General features: G+C 42.1%; 1 long non-coding RNA gene across 1 annotated transcript; it reads right to left on the reverse strand.

The window, feature by feature from the left end:
• Positions 1-1,281: 1,281 nt before the first annotated feature.
• LINC02628 (long intergenic non-protein coding RNA 2628) lies at positions 1,282-23,300 on the reverse strand. The gene is made up of 4 exons (NR_187516.1): positions 23,253-23,300; positions 16,390-16,481; positions 12,892-13,039; positions 1,282-1,639 (listed from the first exon to the last, which is right to left on the reverse strand). It is a non-coding gene; the product is annotated as a long intergenic non-protein coding RNA 2628 (long non-coding RNA).

Raw genomic sequence — 23,300 nt, forward strand, 5'->3', positions numbered from 1 at the left:
AGGTTTATAAAAGATTTAGATGTTTTATTTTCTCCATTGACATTTATTACGTACAAATTATTTGACACCCAATAGTTTGTAGCTCTTTATCCAGGACCCATGTTCTCAAATCTGCAGAATCAGGACACCGGTGTTTTGCATGGTGGTATCATGAGATATCACTGTGTGTGTATGCGTGTAGATGTGTGTGTATATATGTATGTGTACATGTGTGTATGTGTGAATACATGTGTGTATGTGCATGTGTGTGTGTGTGTGTGTGTGTGTTGATGGGGTTCAGAAGAAACTGGTGCTGGGAGGGTTTTATGGAAACAGGTACAGGTGGGGAATAAGACAAGGAGACCCAGAAAAGGAGAGATTTAGGAGAGAAGGAAGACTTGAGAGATTTCTTAGCCATATGTTGAAATTTCAAATACACTATCATGTTGATACTCACATGCAAAACACATGTCCTGATTCTGCAGGTTTGGGAATATGGGTCCTGGATAAGGAGCTACAAACTATTCGGTGTCACATAACTTGTAGGTAATAAATATTAATGTAGAAAATAAAACATCTACATATTTCATAAACCTTTTTTTTCTGTGAAAAAGTGAGAGGGGCATAAAAGGACTATGGCAGCAAGAAGTATAACCAAAATGTGGCCACAAGCATCATTTTTATGGCTTCATAGAACCTTGGGTTTGAAACAGATCTTTTTTTTTTTTTTTTTTTTTGAGTTGCAGTCTTGCTCTGTCGCCCAGACTGGAGTGCATTGGCACAATCTCGGCTCACTGCAACCTCCGCCTCCCAGGTTCAAGCGATTCTCCTGCCTCAGCCTCCTGAGTAGCTGAAATGATAGGCACGTGCCACCACGACCGGCTAATTTTTGTATTTTTGGTAGAGATGAGGTTTCACCATGTTGGTCAGGCTAGTCTCAAACGTGTGACCTCATGATCCACCCACCTCGGTCACCCAAAGTGCTGGGATTACAGGCATGAGCCACCGCACCCGGCCCTGAAATGGATCTTAAGAGTCATGTAATCTTACTCCAAAGTTGAATCTTAAATTCCTCTTTCATAAACTTCTGAAAGGGAGGTTTTAGTGAAGAAACAATGAGAGTAATTGACAGCATAGATTCATACATGTGTGATAGGACACTTGGTCCCTCAAGAGTACCTAATTTAACCATTTGCATCCACTCTCTTTTTTCTCTAACATGGTATTAGACTGGTTTTTCCATGAGATTTGAGGGTCCATATTGTTTTATAACCTCAGCACTGAAGAACTGTAAACAAATGTGCATGCATACTGAATAGCTGTATTCGGTACCTTTAGGAGCAGTAAATCTTGTGGTTTTAAGCACTTTAAGTTATAGCTACTGAACAGCAAACACCCCATTGGCCATGCCAGGGAAGCTAGTGCTCTTCAAGAAAGCAAACTTTGAAAAGGTCTTCTTACTCTATACCACCACCAACTCTCCGCTAACCTCCAAGCCTCCTTTTCATACTAAATGTGTATCCCTGTCTCTGAAGCCATGGTGACACACAAATGATGAGAGTTGCTAAGTGGATATCTTCACCTTTGTTCTTCTTTTTCCAACTTCACTGAAAACTCTGCTTCAATATGAAAGCTTTCTACATGCATCCAACATAGAAATCTGAAAAAAAAAAGAAAAAAGAAAAAACAAAAACCTACTCTTTCTTTGTGCATCACTTAAAGATCTATGTAAATGCCTCCTAGTGAGGAATACCTACTTTTGTTTAAGATTTGAAATCATTAGTTTTAAATTAGAATTAAAGTTTGACATCAAGCAGTAGGCATTGATGGTAGAAAATTGATCAGTCTCAGGAAACTACTAAATGGTGGATTAAATACATACATGGTACAGAGTATATCCTGTGTACTGTCTAGTACATTAAATGTATGTTTCTTGGGCATTGCACATAGATATTTAAAAACAATGATTTTCTCATAAACTCTCCTGTACCAAGGACTTGCTTTCTTCAAAGGCGAAAAACAGATGCATGAGTGCCGTATTTGAATGCAAACCTCATAGACTAGTAGACTGTGATGGAGTCACAGTGTCATATCCAGTTGGATGGACCTTTTCTAATAGTTTCCATTTTTATCAAAAGCAAAATGAAAGCTATTTTCAATGCAGAAGCAAATTCTAAACAACACCCACCAGAATTAGCGAAGCAACATTTCATCAGAAAATCACCTGCAGAATTTAGAATGCAATTTAGAATTACTAATTAGTGTGTTAAATGGATATATTCAGAAAGTGTGGAGGGGATGAGTCAACACTTCTGAAAGAACCTTAATTTCAGAATTTCCTGAGTGAGTGCCCCAAATTATAAGCCTACCCACACATTAGTACATGGGTTAGAGAAGTCGGCTCACCCAGACATTTGTTGTGTGCATAATTTTAAAAAGAATAAATACTACTTTGGAAACTGCTCTGGTTCATTTTGCCAAAAGTAACACCCTTTCTGGGCACAATGCCACTAGATACTCACCCTGCTTTCTTTGTGTCTGCGGGACCCTAAAACATTGTTTGCAATTTTATCAAAGGATTCATTGGATCAGAGGAAAATCAGAGAGAACGTATTGTCCATTAAAATGTAGAAAGGTGGGTCTAAGATGCCTTAGAAGAAAGTAAGCTTTTATCATAACACATTGTTTACCTTTTCGTTATTTTAAACTTGAATCCTATTATTTCACCATCTCTACTGTCACCCAGCCATCATTTCTTATCAACTCTTAACTGGGCTGTTGCAGTGTCTCCTTCCATGGCCTCCTGGTCTTCAACCTGGCTCAATACAGCCCAGTTTCCATTCAACAGCCAGCATGAGCTTTCTAGAGCTGCCTGGACAGCTGAGGCTCTGCAAGTGGGAGAGGTGATCGCATACCCAGAGGAGGTGCCCATCCCTATGAGGACAAACCTCCAGCCCCTCCAAGACGGGAAGAGCCAATAGAGTCAACTCACTGCTAAAGCATCTGTTGGTCCCCTGGGGAACCGTGCCATGGTAAGGGCTCAGTGCTGGTGTCTGTTGCTGACAAGCTGGGCATTCCCTCCAAAACAGCAGTAGTGAAACAGACCTTGGTGAGTGAAGCACATGCTGCTGGGCTCATTGGTAACCTCTGTCTTTGCCACCAAGGCCATGATGCTCATGGGCCTATCATGGCAGCTCTGGGTGGCTGGTGATAAAGCTGACAAATGTCAACCAGTCAAGTCGTTTTATCTACGTGGTTACTCAGTGCCATTTCCATGGTGGGTGGATGCTTTCTGGGCATTCATACACGATACCAACATCTTCATGCTTTGTGCCAACTCCCATTTTCTTATGCACATGTCCCTCCTCCAGAACCCCTTGTCCCAATCATTTAGCGCACTTCCTTCTATGCCACCATCCAGAGATCTGAATGTATTCTCACTTCTGGCAATTTCAGGTGTGCTGCTGAAAGGTTTGCCCATTGGGAGAACATTTTTTTTCCACCATCCAATCACCCATGAATGTGGCTATAATGCAACTCCTGTTCATTTTTGGCTTGCCCCCACATACTGAACCAAGTCATCTATAGACCAACTTTGAAACTTTCTCTTTTCTTTCTTTCTTACTTTTCTTTTTTTTTGATAGAGTCTCACTCTGTCGCCAGGCTGGAGTTCAGTGGCACGATCTCAGCTTACTGCAACCTCTGCCTACAGGGTTGAAGTGATTCTCCTGACTCAGCTTCCCAAGTAGCTGGGACTGCAGGTGCACGCCACCACACCCAGCTGATTTTTGTATTTTTAGTATTTTTGTATTTTAGTATTTTGTATTTTAGTATTTTAGTATTTTGTATTTTTACCACGTTGGCCAGGATGGTCTCCATCGCTTGACCTCGTGATCCGCCGGCCTCGGCCTCCCAAAGTCCTGGGATTACAAGCGTGAGCCACCGCGCCCAGCTGAAACTTTCTCTTTTCTTAAGAGACAGAGTCTCTCTCTGTGGCCCAGACTAAAGTGCAGAAGTGCAATCATAGCTCACTGCAGCCTCCAACTCCTGGGCTCAGGCAATCTTCCCTCCTCAGCCTCCTGAGTAGCTAGGACTGTAGATATGCACCACCATGCCCAGTTTATTAAAAAAAAATTTTTTTTGTAGAGATCGGGTCTTGCTATGTTGCTCAGGCTGGTCATCAACCTTGAACGTTTAAACATTTTCCTCCTCCTCGAGCTGGTCATAGGGAGTAAGTGCACTAGTGCAACTGCAGTGAGTGACATGGGGGTTTGGGCTACCTGCTCGTGCAACTGACATGTGCCTGCTGGCCTTGCTCTAATTTGATCCCAGATGCTCCATTTTCATCTTAGAGTGGACTTTCTGAGCTCATTGGCTTTAGGACTTGGAAGGTTTAACAGAACGCAGTTCATAAATGGAAGTTCTAAACACATGGTCACCCGCTGTCCCATAGCTAAGTGTTCCAATGCTATCAGGGCCCAGTGATGCACAGGGACTGATTCCCAAGGCATGTCACTCTCTGCTGAGGATGACCTGGCTTCACTTCAGAATCACAGGGGCCTGTGTTGTGAATCTTCTACTGGAGCTTGTCATAAGTTTCATACTGCATCATGCCTTCCCCACTGTCACTTCCCAAACCATAGGATCTGCCTGATCAGATGATCCCAACAGCAGGGCTGATTGCTTCATGGCCCGGACCTGAAGCAGTGCTCTTTCCCACTCTGAGTGCTGTGCAAACTGGCAGCCTTTTTTGTTACCTGGTACATGGGCTGGATCAGTTTTCCCAGGTTGGAATATGTGGCCACCAGATTCTAAAGTGGCTCACTAGGTACCACACTTCTTTTCCTGCGTGAAGAATTCAAGATGTCGAAATGTGCATTTTTTTTAAAGTATATCCCAGCATGACCCTGATCAGAGGACCCCCTAAAACCTTCACTGAATTGTCCAGTGATCTTCGTAGGGTTCTCTCCCACCCTCTAGAGCACAGGTGACTTTCCAAGGCCTCCAGGGCACTGCTGTTTCTTGCTCATCCTGTCCAAGCAGCATGATGTTGATAAGATGGTTGGTGTGACTGGGGAATGGTCCATACCTCTTCACACTGTGTTATGACAGAGCAGGAGGACTAATATAGCCCTCGGGAAAAACTATAAGTGAACATTGTCCTTTTCACATCAACATGAAGTGTTTCTCATTCTTTTTCTCTTCTTCTCTTCTCTTCTTCCTCTTCTTGTTTTTTTTTTTTGTTTTGTTTTTGATTTTTTTGTGACAGGGTGTCACTCTGGAGTGCAGTGGCTCAATCATACCTCACTGCAGCCTCAACCTCCTGGACTCAAGCAATCCTCTCACCTCAGCCTCCCCATTAGCTGGGACTACAGGTGGGTGCCACAACTCCCGGCTATTTTTTTTGTAAATTTTTTGTAGAGACAGGGTCCCACTATGTTGTCCAGGCTGGTCTCGAACTCCTGGGCTCCAGCAATCCTCCCAACTCAACCTCCCAAAGTGTTGGGATTACAGGCATGAACCACTGCACTCAGCCTCTGATACTTTTTCCTAATTGAAGTGAAGAAGAATACACTTTGCCAGCTGATGACTTTATCCCATGTAGCTGAGATTAATCTGCTTTTTCAGTAACACCAGAATTGGCAAGCAACTTCCAGGATGGCTATAGCTTGGTTAAGCCTGTGGTGCTCTTAAGTCATTCCCCAGGACCAATATGGTTTCTCCAGGGACCAGCCTGGCAAATTAAACTGAGAAATGACAGAAACCAATGCTCCTACATCTTTCAGGTCACTAATCTCTGTCATCTGCTCAGAGTATCAGTGAATTCCATTTGGCCTTCTTAATTATAAAAAAATCTTACTCTACAGACCAGGGACACAATGTGGGATTACTCCAATAGTCAAAGGCATCGATTCCACTTATATGCTTAGGAATTGGAAAATGGCAACAGGCAAGTCCGTGGACCTAGGGGCCCACTGTGAGCTGAACTTTAGCCAGGACCGTGGTTATTACTACCTAGTTCCTGCGGGCCCCATGCTGACCAAGAGCCACAATGATATCTTGGGTCTCTGAGTACCAATGTCGACTCAGACTCTGTAGCCAATTAGTTCTTGAAGTATCTGCTTTTTCCTCCCTTTCCACAGGGTATGGTCACCTAAATAAATGGCTATAGGTCACTTTGCAGAAGAACTAGAGAAGTGTCACAGGATCTACTTGTCATGATGTTACAGGATCCTGTAGGACCTGGCTACCTCTTAGTCAAAGGGCTCCAGGTCTGAAAATTGGCTCCGGCATGGGGACCAACCACCAAATGGTAACTTGTTACTGGGGCAACTGCTTTCAGACTTTGACTCCTCCATTCTAACTTTGTTCTTCTTTTTAAATTAGAGATATCAAGTGGCACCTTGGTTGGCTGCTGTCAGGGGCAGTGTTCAGCAAACTACAGTCAGATCCAGCCCATCGTGAGTTTTTGTAAATAATGTTTTATTGGAACACATTCATGCTTATTAGGCTCTTCATTCTTTCCCTTGCTGTCTATGAAGGAAGCTTAGACATCTCTCCTTTGCTGAGGCTTGCCCATCATTTTTTCCTGGCTTGTAGGAGCCACTCCCATCAAATTAGTTTGTCCTATCCCCTGGGGCTTTGCTAGGGTGATAAAAACTATATCCTGAGAAAATGCTCCCAAATCAATGAATTCTTGGTTATCCAGCTTAACATTCTAGCTTCCTCAACCAAAAACCCTCAAGTCTAACCCCAGGAGTATTTCCATGGTACTGCCAGTACATATCGGATAGTTGTCTCCTTTCTTTTTTCTTTTTCAACAGGGTGTCACTCTATCGCCCAGGCTGGAGTGCAGTGGCATGATCAGGACTCACTGCAGCCTCTACTTCCTGACAGAGCAGGAGTATTGCCATCTTGGACAAGCACTGTCATTTTTAAATTCACCTGAATCAAAAACCGCCTAAATCCAAAGGCATCAGCCTAATAGCTAAGGTCAGCATGACCATAAACCACAAACAACATCTCTGACCAGAAGCATTCCAAACTCCTCCCCAACCAGAAACATGCTAGCCCTAAGATAACTCACCTCTGGCTGGGAAGATGCCAGCCCTGAGATAACCCACTTCCTGCTGGAAAGATGTCAGCCCCAAGATAACCTTCCCTCCACCCAGAGACATTCCAACCCCGTCATAAACATCTTCCCCACACAGAAACATTCCAAGCTTGTAATAAGCCCCTCACCCTAAAACCAATATATACTCTTAGTCTGTAAGAGAAAGCGCTCCTGACCAAAATTGTCCAGAAGCCCCTCTCGGGTTTTTCTCTAAAAGAAACCTGTCTTTGACGGTTAAGCTGCATTCTGTGTTTCTTTCCTCTTTCTTTAACTCTTACACTTCCCAGGCTCAAATGATCCTCCTGCCTCAACCCCCAAGTAGCTGCACCATCATGCCCAGCTAATTTTTTTGAATTTCAGTAGAGATGAGATCTCCCTATGTTGCCCAGGATTATCTCAAACTCCTGAGCTCAAGGGATCCTCCTGCCTCAGCCTCTCAAATTGCTGCAATTACAGGCATGAGCCACCATGCCCCACCACGTCTTATTTCTTTCTGTGTAGATCTCTTTCTTGCCTTACAGGGCACACGCTGACTATATATGTGTTATCTTAGAATTTCACTCTATCAGTCTGGGAGCAGGAATGGAGATAGAGACAGGTCTCAAGGGCTGTGTCTGTGTCTTTTGGTGAGGAAGATTCTGCAGCATCTTTCAGTATGGTCAAAGTGCTAGCTCTTACTAGGGAAAGATGGGCCACCCATCCATGCCCAGAGGATGGGGGTGGGAATGTTGTAGATTCAGCATCACTAAGGACATCTCTCCAGATTTCCTGCTTAAAGGAGTGTTTAATATCTCTGGTGCTCTGAGATCCTCATAATTAGGTCTTGAGCTTGCCTTTTATTGTGCCTGCCCTTCAGCTATAGGTGGTAAAGAGTTCTTTATATGCAACCACCATTACCACTGCAGTCTCTATGTTTCCCACACTTAGCTATTAAGTGCATAATAATGGCTCTCAGTCTCTCATTCCCCACTAACATGCAGTCAATGCACTTAGCCTTAGCCAGCCAATTGTGCTATATACATATATATATATATATATATTTTTTTTTTTTTTTTTTTGAGACAGAGTCTTGCTCTGTTGCCAGTCTTGAGTACAGTGGTGCGAACTTGGCTCACTGCAATTTCCACCTCCCGGGCTCCAGCAATTCCCCTGCCTCAGCCTCCTGAGTAGCTGAGATTACAGGCGCACACCACCACACCAGCTAATTTTGTGTATTTTAGTAGGGACAGGGTTTCACCATGTTGGCCAGGATGGTCTCGATCTCCTGACCTTGTAATCCACCCACCTTGGCCTCCCAAAGTGCTGGGATTACAGGCGTGAGCCACTGTACCTGGCCCAATTGCACTATACTTATAAGAAGTTTCCCTCATATTTCCAAATGCAGATATCATCACACCCATCGCAGCATTTGCCCTGACAGGAACATTTTCAAGGCCCCCCTACCAGTGAAATATTAGCAGTTGGACTGCATCTTGTTACCAGGACCATACACGTGCTTCTGACCTGCCAAGTAGGTGAGTTAATTTTACAACTCCACCTTGCTGTCTGTTTTCTCAAACCACTCTTGGTACCACTTGTGTTAACCCAGATCCTCTGAGAAGCTGACATTGACAGGAGTAATATTCAAGGATTTTATTAAGGAAGATGCTTTTGAAAAGAAAATGAGGGTGAGAGCTGGAAAAGGCTGGGAAAGATGTCAGGCTAGGAGGCAAGTGTGAATCTAAGTGAAGATGAGAGGGAGAGAATGTTGGGTGGAACTGTCCTAGACTGTCATGCAGTCTAAGGAAGCTTCAACAAAGCCAGCAGGGATTCCTTGAGTTTACATTGCCAAAAGAGGAGTTTAATGTCTCCCAGAAATGAATCTGCTTTTGTAGCCCTGCCACGCTCAGTCCTTGACAAGGGAGCAGTCTTGACCAAGTAAGGTGTGGCCCCGGCCAAAATAAAGCAATGTATCTCAAAGCATAGCATCTGGGGCACTGGTTGCACTCCTTATAGTGGGAGCTCTGCAAGCCACAATTTTATGGCTACCATAGAAAGTCAATGTAAGTTCAATCAAAGTCCTATGTGAAATTTTTTTTTTAATTGACAAGCTAATTCTGAAATGTAAACAGAAAAGTAAAGGACCTAGCATACCTAAAATGATTCAGAAAAGGAACAAAGCTGAAGGACTTAGACAACCTAATTTCAAGACTACAGCAATCACATATAAGGTCATGCATTGCTTAACGATGAGGATATGTTCAGAAATATGTAGGTGATTTTGTTGTTGATTTTGTATGTGTGAACATCATAGAGTGCACTTATCAAACCTAGACAGTAGAGCCTCTTATATACCTGGGCTATAAGGTCTAGCTTATTGCTCTTAGACTACAAACCTGTTCATCATGTTACTGTACTGGATACTGTAGGCAATGGGAACACAATGGTAAGTATTTGTTTATCTACATATACCTAAACATAAAAGAAAGTATAGTAAAAACATGGTATTATAATCTTATGGGACCACCATCCAGTATGCAGTCTGTCATTGGCAAAAATGACATACAGTGCATAACTGTACACATAAATTAATGAAATCAGCCTAACAGTACAGAATCCAGGAATAGACCCCTGTCTACATGGCCTATCGCAGGGGTGTCCAAACTTTTGGCTTCCCTGGGCCACACTGGCAGAATGTGGCAGAATTGTCTTGGGTCCCACATAAAATACACTAATTCTAATGATAACTGATGAGCTAAAAAAAAAATTGCATAATGTTTATGAATTTTTATTGGGCTACATTCAAAGCCATCCTGGGCTGCATGCAGCCCATGGGCCATGGCTTGAACAAGTGTGATCTGTTGGTTTTCAAAACAGTGCAAAGATCACTCAATAGGGAGAGAGATTCTTTTCAACAAATGATGCTGGAACAATTGGATATCGAGGTGCAAAAAATGAACTTTGATTCTTACCTCACACTACATACAAAAATTAACTCAAAATGGATCATAGATCTAAATAACAAATCAAAACTATAAAATTTCCAGATGAGGATATGGAAATTTTGTTTTCTTGTTACCTTGGGTTAGGCAAAGATTTCTAAGAACATAAAAATCACGAAGGAAAATTTTGATAAATTAAACTTAACTGAAATTTAAGCAGCTGGGCTCAGTGGCTCATGCCTGTAATACCAACACTTTGGGAGGCTGAGGCGGACAGATCGCTTGAGCTCAAGAGATTAAGAGCAGCCTGGGCAACATGGTGAAACCTCCTCTCTAAAAAAAGTTAAAAAAAAAATTAGCTGGCACACACCTGTAGTCCCAGCTACTTGGGAGGCTGAGGTGGAAGGATCACTTGAGCCCAGGAGGCAGAGTTTTCAGTGAGCCGAGATTGCACCACTGCACTCCAGCCTGGGTGACAGAGCCAGACCCTGTCTGGGAAAAAAAAAAAAAAAAGAAAAAGAAAGAAATTTAAAACTTTTGCTTTTGAAAATACACTGCGAAGACAATGAAAAGAAAATTCACAGGCAGGGAGAAAATATTTGCAAAACATATATCCAGAATATATGCATAATAGATAAAGAACTCTTACGGATCAATAATATGAAGACCACAGCCCAATTTCATTTTTTTTAAAAAAAAAGAAGGGCAAAAATTTTGAACTGATATTTCACCAAAGAAAATATATGAATGGCAAATAACATGAAAATATGTTTGATATTGATAGCCATTGGGAAATACTAATTAGAACCACAATAAAATCCTACTACATATGCACTAGAATATCTAAAATTAAAAAGTCTAACAATACCAAGTATTGCCAAGGATGTGAAGCCACTGGAATGCTTGTGTATTGCTAGTAAATGCAAAATGGTGCAACCACTTTGGAAAACAATTTGGCTGTTTCATATAAAGTTAAACATACAGGTGCCATTTAATCCAGCAATCTCACACCTAGGCATTTACCCAAAATAAAGGAAAATATATATTCACACAGACTAGTGAATTCATGTTCATAGCAGCTTTATTTATAGTAGCCCCAAATTAGAATCAACCTAAATTTTGGCATATCTGCATAGTCACACAATGGAATTACTTCTCAGCAATAAAAAGGAATGAACTACCAATATACCCAACAACACAGATAAATCTCACAACAATTATTCTAACTGAAAGAGTTCGGACACAAAAGACTATATGATTTTATTGATGTGAAATTCTAGAAAGGACAAAACTAGAGTAGCAGATCAGTGGTTCCCAGGGCCTGGAGCTGGGGGAAGGAGACTGTCAACACATGAGCACTGGGAAATGGGGGGATGATGGAAATGTTCTGTATATCATGAGGGTGGTGGTATAGGTGTTAAAGAAAGAGGAAAGAACACAGAAAGCAGCTCAACAGTCAAAGACAGGTTTATTTTGGGGAATAAACCTGAGAGGGGCTTCTGGCCAATTTCCGTCAGGAGCACTATCTCTTACAGACTAACAGTATATATTGGTTTTAGGGTGACGGGGCTTATCACAAGCTTGGAATGTTTCTGTGTTGGGCAGAAGTTTTTGACAGGGTTGGAATGTCTCTGGGTGGAGGGAAGGTTATCTTGGGGCTGACATCTTTCCGGCCGGAAGGGAGGTTATCTCAGGGTTGGCATGTCTCTGGTAGGGGATGTTATTTGTGGTTTATGGTCATGCTGATCTTAGCCATTAGGCTGATGCCCTTTGGATTTAGGCAGTTTTTGATCAAGGTGAAGCTTAAAATGGCAGTGCTTGTCCAAAATGGTGATGCTCCTGCTCTGACAGGTAGTAGTTACCCAACTTTATGCATTTGTCAAAACTCATTGAATTTTATACTTCAAATTGGTGAATTTTGTTGTATATATATTATACACCAATAGACTAATTTTTTTAAGTAACAGAAAATAAAATAATGATGGAGACATAAAATGGAACTTGTAGTAATAATCTTAAGGTTATTAAATAATTTTATTTAAAATTGACTTGTATTTAATGGACTGTGCTTTTGTTTCTCAGGTTTCTAAGTGCTATCTTGAAAACAGAAGTCTAATAATTTACAAAATTGACTTCTCAGTTCCAGGATGAAGTAAGAATTTTCTTCTGTGCATAAAGTGGACATCATTTGAAACAGCAACAATATTGTCATAGTAGACCCAACAAAGACTTTCACTGGACTGTCTCTCATACTGACCCATTACACAGGTCCATAATTCAGTGAAGCTATTTGGGGATAGTCATTACAATTCTACATAAATCATCAGTTCTTTACCAAGCTGCCATAATCCATGGTTAGATTTTAGAGCATCTGAGAACATGGAATACTGTATGATCTCCAATTATTTTTTGCTAAATATGACTTCTCTCAATAAGGCTTTTGACAAACATTTTGGGAATTAGCTCGTGGTTGCCTTTCTTGGCACGGACAGTGCTAGAAACTACTCAATGGTGCACATGACCACAGACCCCTAAAATCTTGAACTGATCATTGAGCTGGAGGTAGAAATAACCTATTTGTGGAGGTCAAGGTCTCTAACAAGGGAGGAGTCGGCTACCTTTACCTTTTACCATTCGTTCTCCTTTCGTATTTTCAATAGGAGAAATACAGAGAAGTTAATGGCATTGAGCGGTTCCATTGTCTACTGCCTTTCAGAGATTGAGAAGCTTGAGCCAGTTGTATGTTTTTTTGAGATTCAAATGTATTAAATAAGAAAGATATGCCAAAACAAGTCTCTAAATATTGTGATAAATTTAAGTGTTAATAATTAATAACTTATTATGAATCAATAATTCATAAATCTACTGTATATTTACCTTCATTTGGAGATAAGTCAAAAGACTACATTTGAAGCCCCTTTTGTGCATGATGTCCTGGGGAAACGTCCCTCTTGCAGCCACTCACCCCACCCCAAATAGGTTCTATTCTTCTAGGGTAAACTATTTAATTGGGGTCCGCAAAGTCCTATGAAAAGAGAATGAATAATTATTTCTATATGCCAAGAACGCTTTTAAATGCATTACTTGTATTAACTCATTCACTTTTTACAAGCGTTGTGAGAATAGGATTAATACTATGAGATAAATCCTATTAGGTGAGGAAATGAAGATAGAATAGTTAGTAACTTGCCCACTATCATGGCTGGTAAGTGGCAGAGCTGACTCCAAAGTCTGTGCTCTTAACTGTCATGTTGGAGGTTGGATCATGTAAAAGTAGCCAATTGTCAATCATGTGTGACTAACAAAATTGGCAATTTCATATGGTTCAACTTGATGTAATGCTCAGATTGGCTGAAGCTATGTTTTTATGAGCATGAATATATGGGGCACATTTGTTTCTATTGCCAGTCGAGAATACATATCAACCTTTTATCTCAATTTGACAAATCCAGTATTTATTTCTGAATTCTTTTTGCTCCAGGGCAAAGACATTTTAAAATTCATGTCTGCTTTGAGAAGGGGTGGGGGGCACAGCTAGCTAATCAGAGCTTAACAAAAGGAGGGACTTTCTAATGACTAGAGCTGTCAAAGCTGGGCTGATGGTCACTATGGACAGTGGTGGGAGCTTCTGTCCTGGGAGGTGCCCTCAGAGATGGGATATGCTATTACTCAATAAGTCTACCAACGGTTCCTGCCTCATTAGAACTCAGCCAGTGCAGGAGTTAGACATCCATCAGACTCCTGCATGCCCAGAATGTGTCAAGCTTGCCCTGCTGGACTTTTTACTATGGGTACTCTGTTTTTCTTCCTAGATGTCAACATTTAGAAATCATAGTGTTACCAGATGGTCCTTGCTCCTGGAGCTCCCAAGATGGTGGTGGGCCGCTTCCACAATGGCGGTGGGCCGTTTCCAAGATGGTGGCAAGCCTCCTGATCTCTGACCTGGGGTTCTTGGCCTCACGGATTCCAAGGAATGGAATCTTGGTCCATGCAGTGAGTGTTATAGCTCTATTAGAAGCTGTGGGTCACAGAAGAGAACCGTGGAACCCAGTGACTGTGTTCAGCTCAATTAGGACGAACCTGCGCACTTAGCAGTGCAGGAACAATGGAAAGCTTTTAGCTCAATCAGGACCAGCAATGTGTGCCTCGCTGGATCAGGAGCACAGCGGACACCCTGCTGGATCCAGAGGGATGGAAGTCAGTGGCAGGTCTGCGATGGCGGCAGACAGCAGTGGTGGACGGTGAACGAAAGCTCAGTTCAAGCCGTAACAAACAGGGACCAGAAGAGTGGGCAGTTGCAAGATTTAATAGAGTGAAAACAGAGCTCCCATACAAAGGGAGGGGACCCAAAGAGGGTAGCTGTTGCTGGCTCCAATGCCTGGGTTTATATCCCAATCATTGTCCCTCCCACTGTGCTTTCAGGCAATAGATGATTGGCTATTTCTTTACCTCCTGTTTTTGTCTAATTAGCATTTTAGTGAGCTCTCTTTACTACCTGATTGGTCGAGTGTGAGCTAAGTTGCAAGCCCCGTGTTTAAAGGTGATGCGGTCACCTTCCCAGCTAGGCTTAGGGATTCTTAGTCGGCCTAGGAAATCCAGCTAGTCCTGTCTCTCAATAGTCAAGGGGATTGTATTGAAAAATGGGGAGGTTTCTTTTGCTCTGGTTGAATATTTTTGTAATTTCATGAAGGATTCAGAGCAAAATAGTGCTCTGTCTTTCAGAAGCACATTGAGGGTCCTTAAATTTCATAGTCTAATTTTACAAGGTCCCTTTCTTGTTTCCATAGGTTACTAGAAACTATTTGTTTCTTTCCTCTGGACAGAGCCCACAGAATTCATAAGATCTTCACCATTGGGATTTAGCAGCCTTGCATTTGCTGGAAATTGACTCTGGAATGGTAACCAGATCAAGACCACTCCCTTTATTTGCTTTTTTTTTTTTTTTTTTTTTTTGAGACAGAGTCACTCAGTTGCCCAGGCAAGAGATATGATCTTGGCTCACTGCAACCTCTGCCTCCTAGGTTCAAACAATTCTCCTGCCTCAGCACTCCCAAGTAGCTGGGATTACAGGTATGCACCACCTCACCTGGCTGAATTTTGCATTTTTGGTAGAGGTGGGGTTTCACCATGTTGGCCAGGCTGGTCTCGAACTCCTTTCCTCAAGTGATCCACCCGCCTCAGCCTCCCAAAGTGCTGGGATTACAGGCATTACCCACCATGCCCGGCACGTTACTTTCATTTTATTGATTTACATTGCTTATCTGTGTAAACCCTGATAACAGAGATATACCCAGACTGCCCCTCAGCAGCCAGCCAAATCTGCAGATCCCCGGCTTTAGCTGGAAGCCAAGGCTACTGCCAAGATTCCATAAATCAGTTCATTTGGCTCAGCCTGACTAGCAGGACCACGAAGATGAACAATGCCTCCAAAAACAAAATCAAACTGTCCTGGAGGCTACACAGAAAGAGATGGAGAATTGTCTCGGTCAATTCTGGGGCAGCATTTTTGCAGAGTAGAATTTTTTTTTTCTTTCAGGATAGCCAATGTCCCGTTTACTGTGAAATTTGGTATGCTGATTACAGCTTGTAATGATCATTCGGCTCAGTAGATCATATCTGACTTTTCCAAAAGCAATTTTATGTGGGTACTAATGTGTTTGTCCCATGCTTATTCTGGTCAGTGGGGCATGCAGTTATAAGGATCAGATGGAAGTAATTTCTTGGATTTCCCTTTGATGTTTCCAAAGGGAGGAAGATTCTCTGTATCCCTCTGGGTGCTCCCTGACAGTGTGGAGAGCCCTGTGACGGCTCGAGGCGGGAGATCCTATTTTCCACCCCCAGTCACTTGACCAGTCCACCAAGAAGCTCTGCATTCTCAGGTTTTTGAGACCTGTCCCAGCCACAAGTCACGAGGCTTACCTCTCAGGAAAGTCACCTCAAGAAGAACATCCAGAAGGCTGTTCTTGGATATCTGGGGCTGAGATAGGGATGCAGTGCCCATCACTGCTTCCCTAGTTCACTCCTATGGGAAGCTGATGCCCCTTCCACCTTTCACTCATCACCTTTTCTCACTGTGCTTATTGATCCTGAACAAAAGCGGCAGCTCAGAAGCTCTCATCCAGCAGAAGTGACTGAGAGCAGGACAGCAGGCCCGTCCACCCTGGCCTTCTCCCACCAGGCAGTCTGCTTGGTTCCTGCTGAGCAGACTTATCCCTAATGGCCGGAAGCGCTCCTCTCTTTGCCCACCAACCCCAGCTCCAAAGCAGATGCAAGTGTCTCCATTTCCCTGGTCTTACTTTACTCCTCTGCCTCCTGGGATCAGAATAATAATTTCTAGTTCTCTGGATTGGCTCTGCTTTGCAATATATGACTCACTCTCTTTTCCTTCAAGCTTTCCCTTAACGTGGTCCACACTCGAGGATGCTGGCTGGGTCTTTATCACAGGAGAATTTTCAGGTATTCAGCAACTGAAGAAAAAAAAAAGACCTATTGAACACTCCTTTCCCTGCTCTCAATCAGGTCACACAGAGTTCTTGAGAGAAGAAAAACAGCAAATGTGAAACTGATGCCAGTCATCTTCTTAGAACAAAGGCCAAGAAGTAGGAGTGATTTTTTTGTGTGTTGGTGCATGCATGTATTTTAGTGGAATGAAAGAAACAGCCATGCCCTCAAACACCTCACTCTTGTGTTTACGCAGCTGGCCCCCACTGGAAGACGCGTCTGAGATTGCATTCCGTGATATTTCACCAATACCTTCAATAACCACGTCTTCTTTTCACCTCCAGATCACATTGGAAACCCATTTACTTTATTCATAAAAGTGTAACATATTCAGCCCTGAGTCTCCAGTTATTATCAGCATTTGCACATGACCGAGCATAGTCACTGAAGCCTCTGCTCTTGCCGTCACACATTTCTGAGCATTTTGAACTGTGATTGTTACTCTTTAACCTGGGGGCTCTTCGACTTTCCTAAAGAGGGGAAATCCAGATGAGAGCACCAGATCTTACGCTGTCATATTAGCTAGATGGAGGAAGCAAGAATAAGTGCAATAACAAGAGCCAGGTGAGATAATTAAAACCATCTTAATCCCTTCACACCGAGAGGCGGATGTCAGCCCATTTCTTTTCCTTTCTCTTTCTTCTTTCTTTTTTTTTTAAACTGTGTAAGCTTTAGTTCTGATTTCATTTCAAACAGCCCTTCCCATCAGTGCTTGTTCTACCGATGTGAATCAGTAGAATGAATTAAGTTTTGCTCAAGGCATTTAGTAGAGTAATAATCTGCTTCTCAGAGGAGGGGAAATGAAGATGAAAAAATTTAGCAAAGAGCATCTACCCTACAATGCCAGGTCGGTAATAAAACATAAAGATGCTTAAAGAAAAGTACTCCCCGACCAAAGCGGGTCTATTAGAAGCAAGTTTTGCCATGATTGCCGAACCCTCCTGGAAAGGGTAAGGAAAAAAAAAATCACTGTCAAAAATCATTTGAGTATAAAAGTGAAATAAAAGTCGCCTTTTTAAAATGTGATATTCAATGTGGACATAGAGTGGAAGGATGCAGTACAGTCATTAAGGGAGACAAATAGAGGATGTGCCCAAGATCCCTGTCATGTGATGGTGTGGAAGACCTACTGTGAACAAAGACCCTGCGAAGCCCAGAAAGCCAGAAGGCAAATCATTCCTTTATCTTTCCTGGCCCTGTGCTGTGGCGGAACAACCAAAATGAGAGTCTATTGGGTTGAGCCCTGGCTTCACCCCCTTGGGGCATTCTGTTTCCCCATTCAGAGAATGAGTGAGAATAGTGAAACCTGCCTCAGCCATCAGAGGCTTGTCCCAACAGTCCAAAGAGATCAAGATTAGGAGTTGTCTTTGCAAAGAGTGAGGAGAGCCAGGTGCGGTGGCGTCTGCCTGGAGTCCCACCTATGGGAGGATCTACTGGGCCCAGGAGTTTGACACTGCAGTGTGTGATAATCACGCCTGTGAATAGCTACTGGGCTATATATAGCCTGGGCAATATAGAGAGACCTCATCTCTCTCTTTAAAAAAATTGCCTGGGTGCAGTGGCTCATGTCTGTGATCCCAGCATTTTGGAAGGGTGAGGTGGGAGGATTGCTCGAGGCAAGGACTTTGAGACCAGCCTGGGCACCATAGCGAGATCTCATCTCTACAAAAAAATTGTAAAAATTAGCCGGGTATAGTAGAGTGTGCCTGGAGTCTCAGCTACTCAAGAGGCTGAGGTGGGAGGATCATTTGAGCCCAGGAGTTTGAGGCTGCAGTGAGCTATGATCACACCCCTGCACTCCAGCCTGGGTGACAGAGAAAGAACTTGCCTCAAACAAACAAACAAACAAACAAACAAACAAAGGATGAACATAGCTCTAATCTAACCTGAAGTTGCACCCAAGCAACTATGATTTTTCAGTATTCTCATTAATTTTGGAAAATGTTTCTGGGCAAACTCTTTAAAAGTGGGAAATATTTAAAATATTTAAAAGTGGGAGATAAAGGAAGATAGAAAACTTCACTCTATTGGAGAGTAATGAGAGGGTGGGGAAAAGAGATTTTGTTCTTGTTTTTGTTCCCAGCAATTTCAGCACACTTTGATCAATTTAGTCTTATGAAAATGAAAATTTCAAAAAGAAGCAGCCAGAGTCATGTTCCTAAGAGCACACTGGTCATGCTATTCCTCTTTGTACAATCCCACAGTGGTGTCCTGATACCTTTAGGAAAAGATTCAATGTCCTTGGAATGGCATTCATGGCTCTCGATGGTGTGCCTTAGTGTGGCTTCCCCATGCCACTTCCCATGCCTGGAGCATCCTGCTCTGCCCCCGTATCCCCCACACCTGCCCACATCCCCTCTGTGGTCTCCACCACCAGGAAGCTGCCACGGACATTCATCAGCAAGAATGAGTGGCCTCCGGGGTGTTCATGCTGGACGGTGAATGTTGACCTTTTCCCCTCTATTTGTGAGCGCTTTCAGAATAGCAAATATATCTTTCTTCTGGCTGTCTTTGGTATCAGAAGCAATGCCTGGAAAATCAGGGGGCACAGAATAAATGTCCTTATAGCTAAAGAAGAAAGGAAAGAAATTAATGTTGATTCTATAACTTACCTACAGTTCTTCAATTTTAATTATATAAATGCCACTTTTATTATTTTTGTCATATTTGTGAACTACCTGTTGTAATAGCACTTGCTTAATTATTTTGCTTTAATTAACAGCTTACTTTTAAAAACTTAAATGTAATTTAAAAGAAAATGTTTTATCACTTTATCATACATTCCATGAAAGGAAGAGCTGTGTTTGTTAAGCACTGAATCCCTAGTACCTTGAACTGAGCCTAGCACAAAACGGGTATCCTACTCTGGTTAAATGACTAACAGGAAAATTAGTACCACTGGCTACTAATACATGGTAACATGAATAATAGATATAAAAAATGAAAGAATACTAACAATACAGTAATTGACCCCAAACCTAAGACTCACCCCTTCTTATGGTTTGGATCTTTGTCTCCGCCCAAATCTCATGTCAAATTGTAATCCCCAGTGTTGGAGGCGAGGCCTGGTGGGAGGTGATTGGATCATGGGGGTGGTCTTTCATAAATAGTTTAGCAACATCTCCTTGGTGCTGTTCTTATGGAAGTGAGTGAGTTCTCATGAGATCTGGTTGTTTAAGATTGTGTAGCACCTCCCCCATCTCTATCCTCCTCCTGCTCCCCCCATGTGAACTGCTTGCTCCCCCTTCACTTTCCACCATGATTGTAAGTTTCCTGGGGCCTCCCCAGAAGCAGAAGCTGCTATGCTTCCTGTACAGCCTGCAGAACCATGAGCCAATTAAATCTCTTTTCTTTATAAATTACCCAGTTTCAAGTATTTCTTTAGAATAGTGCGGGAACTGACTAATACACCTCTCTTTGTTTAAAGGGGATGCCAGGATTACAGCAATGTTAGGAACCTCAGAACTCAAGTGCAAATTTCTCCTTGATTAATTAAAAGGATTGAAAGATAATTGAAATGACTAGCTGCACACTGAGTAGTCTAGTGTCATTTCACACACAGTCATTCCATAATCATCAAGCACCTGTACCACGGGTCTTTCCCTCAGTTTGGGAAACATCATCTATGTTATTCCTTCAAGTTCCTACTCCTCTTCTACAAAAGCTGACCGATAAGGAGTTCTAACCCATCAGGAGACTAAAACTATCTGATACGCTCATTTAAATGGAAGTATAGACCCCAAGAGGATGGTAACTATTAAAAAAAATCCTGGAGCTTCTTATATGTTAGTTTTGTATCATTCCTGCCTCAATTTTTTTCCCCTGTGGTTAACAACACAAGAGCAAAAACCTTGCATATGAAAAATATGTGCTTCTATTCATAATGTATGTCACTTTTTTTTTTTAAAGACAGATAGGGTCTCACTCTGGTTCTCAGGCTGGAGTGCAGTGGTGTGACCTTGGCTCACTGCATCCTCGACCTCTTGGGCTCAAATGATCCTTCCATCTCAGCCTCCCTAGTAGTTGGGACCACAGGCATGTGCCACCATGCCTGTCTAATTTTTGTATTTTTTGTAGAGACAGGGTTTCACCATGTTGTTCAGGCTAGCCTTGAACTACTGGGCTCAAGCAATCCTCCTGTCTTGGCCTCCCAAAGTGCTGGGATTACAGGTGTGAGCCCCCACGCCCTGCTATGTCACCTCTTACCATATTAAAATACAGACACTTGGAGGAAGAATCACTAGATGGGGCGCAGTGGTGAGTGGCTTGTTAAGGAGCCCTGACTGTCCACAGAAATGTCACCTTCCCTTCAAGGTTATATCTTGCTCCTGTTGTTCCTTACGGTGTAATCTAGTGCCTTGAGCACAGGCACGAAAACTTTCTTTTGGCTTTCCTTTATGTAGTTGAAGATGGCAGGACTATGCTAAGTGAAGAAAATAAATATTTGTAATATAAGAATACCATATATGAAGCCTAAAAACATTCCAACACATAGAGCATGTAAAGTAGCTACCCAGGGAGACACAAACTTCTGGTAGAAGGAATCTACCAGAATATAGTAGGAAGTGGGGAGTATTATAGTTACACCAAATGCATATGTCTGTTTACAAAACAACAGAAACAAAAACTTTGGGAAACACTGCTCTATACCCAAAGGACTACCTTTACTTTCTTACACCAGGACAAGGAAAGAGCTCTTTTGCTAAAAAATAAAGCAAAGCAATAATAAGAAAAGCAAATTTAAAAATAGAAACAGAAATCCATTTGCAGTGAGATCTTAAAGCTTATTCTCCCACAGTAACCAGACATGAATTTGGGGTTGCCCTTCTCACATTCCCCCAAACTCCCTCTTGATCAATATTTGCTTTACTCTTCCTCAATGTTTCTCTGTTTATTTTTCCTTTCCAGACAACAGAACTTGTTACAAATGTTGTGTAGAAAGGAGCTACAGTGTGATCCGCACCAGACCTTCTCTAGTCAAGACTGAACCTATGGCTGGGTAGACAAAGTGGCTGCCTAGAAAGTGTATGACTTGAAGGCAGAATGAAAAGGTCCCAACCTGTATTAGTCTATTTTTATACTGGTATAAAGAACTGCCCAAGACTGGGTAATTTATTAAAAAAAAAAAAGATGTTTAATTGATTCACAGTTCAGCATGGCTAGGGAGGCCTCAGGAAACTTACAATCATAGCAGAAGGTGAAGGGAAAGTAAGGCACCTTCTTCACAAGCCGGCAGGAAGGAGAAGTGCTGAGCAAAGGGGGAACAGCCCCTTATAAGACCATCAGATCTTGTGAGAACTCACTCACTATCACGAGAAAAGCATGGGGGAACCACCCCATGATTCAGTGATCTCCACCTGGCCTCACCCTTGACATGTAGAGATTATTACAATTTAGGGTGAGATTTGGGTGGGGACACAGACAACCCATATCACTGCCATTCTCAGATGTATCTCTTCCTTGGTCTCCTTGGAAGCCCTAAATGATGGACTGAATTTCTTTAGACTGAAGTACTGGATGCCCTGTTGAAGTACAGGTAAAAGCTGAGAGAGTGGGTCACTGCCAGGGGATGGTCTGGGCTTTGGTTGTTAAATGCCAAAGCTGCATCTCACCTTAAGCCAACTGCCTGAACTCTCTTTTCATCTTTTCCATAGTTCCTAGGTAGTCACAATTCACTTTTATTCATTCATCCATTAATTCTTTCATTCAGCACATTTATATTGAGGATCATTTACTTAGCATTATGCCCCAAAAATGCATTGTTGAAAAAGACAGATGTTCCTGCCCTTATGGAGATAAAATGGACATTAAACAGCCAATTACACACTAATGCAATCACTATTGATTTACTGATTCAATAATTATATATTAAGCAACTACTCTGTAGTAAGTACTATGCTTGGTGCTGGAAATTTAATAGTTAACAAAAATGTCACATTCTGTGCTTTCATGAAACATGGAACTCATAGTCTAATCAAATATGACATAAGAGAATATAAAATTGTATACGAGGTAAGTGCTACAAAGGAGACACAGCTCTATGAGTATAACAATAAATATAACTACAATAACTTTTAATAGATGTGCAATATAAAAAGAGTAAATTATGACATCGATGACATAAAATGTAAGGGGGGAGTAAAATTGTAGTTTTTATATGTGATCAAAGTTAAGTGGTTATCAGCTTAAAACAAGCTTTTACAAGATTGTTATTTAAGACTCATGGTAATCAGAAAGCAAAAATCTCTAGTAGAAAAACAAAAGATAAAGAGAAAGGAATCTAAGCATACCACTATAAAAAAAAAATCAGGCCAGGCACTGTGACTCACGCCTGTAATCTCAGCACTTTGGGAGGCCAAGGCAGGTCGATCATGAAGTCAGGAAGTTTGAGACCAGCCTGGCCAAGATGGTGAAACCCCATGTCTACTAAAAATACAATAATTAGCCGGGCACAGTGGCAGGCACCTGTGTAAAAAGTAAAGTAGATGTTCCTCTTCAAAGAGACTTTCCTCCCCATCTAATTAGGAATAAATAGTAACTTCTCCTAGAAGCAAAATTTATTCAAAGATCTGTGCTAACATTCTTCAATATCTGCTAGCCGTAATAAAGAAATCAATGTACTTTATGTTCTTAGCTCCCACTATTTAGCCTAAATATTTGCCCTGACAGGCTTATACTGGTTCAAGAAAGCATTAGGTCACAGCCTGTTCTTCCTCATTGTTTGAAGGTGTTTTTACCTTTCTCAGCATTCCACAAGTTACTTGCTCCTTCCTTTGTTCTCCTCT

Source organism: Homo sapiens, chromosome 10, assembly GCF_000001405.40.
Source record: "Homo sapiens chromosome 10, GRCh38.p14 Primary Assembly".
NCBI classification, from domain to species: Eukaryota; Metazoa; Chordata; class Mammalia; order Primates; family Hominidae; genus Homo; species Homo sapiens.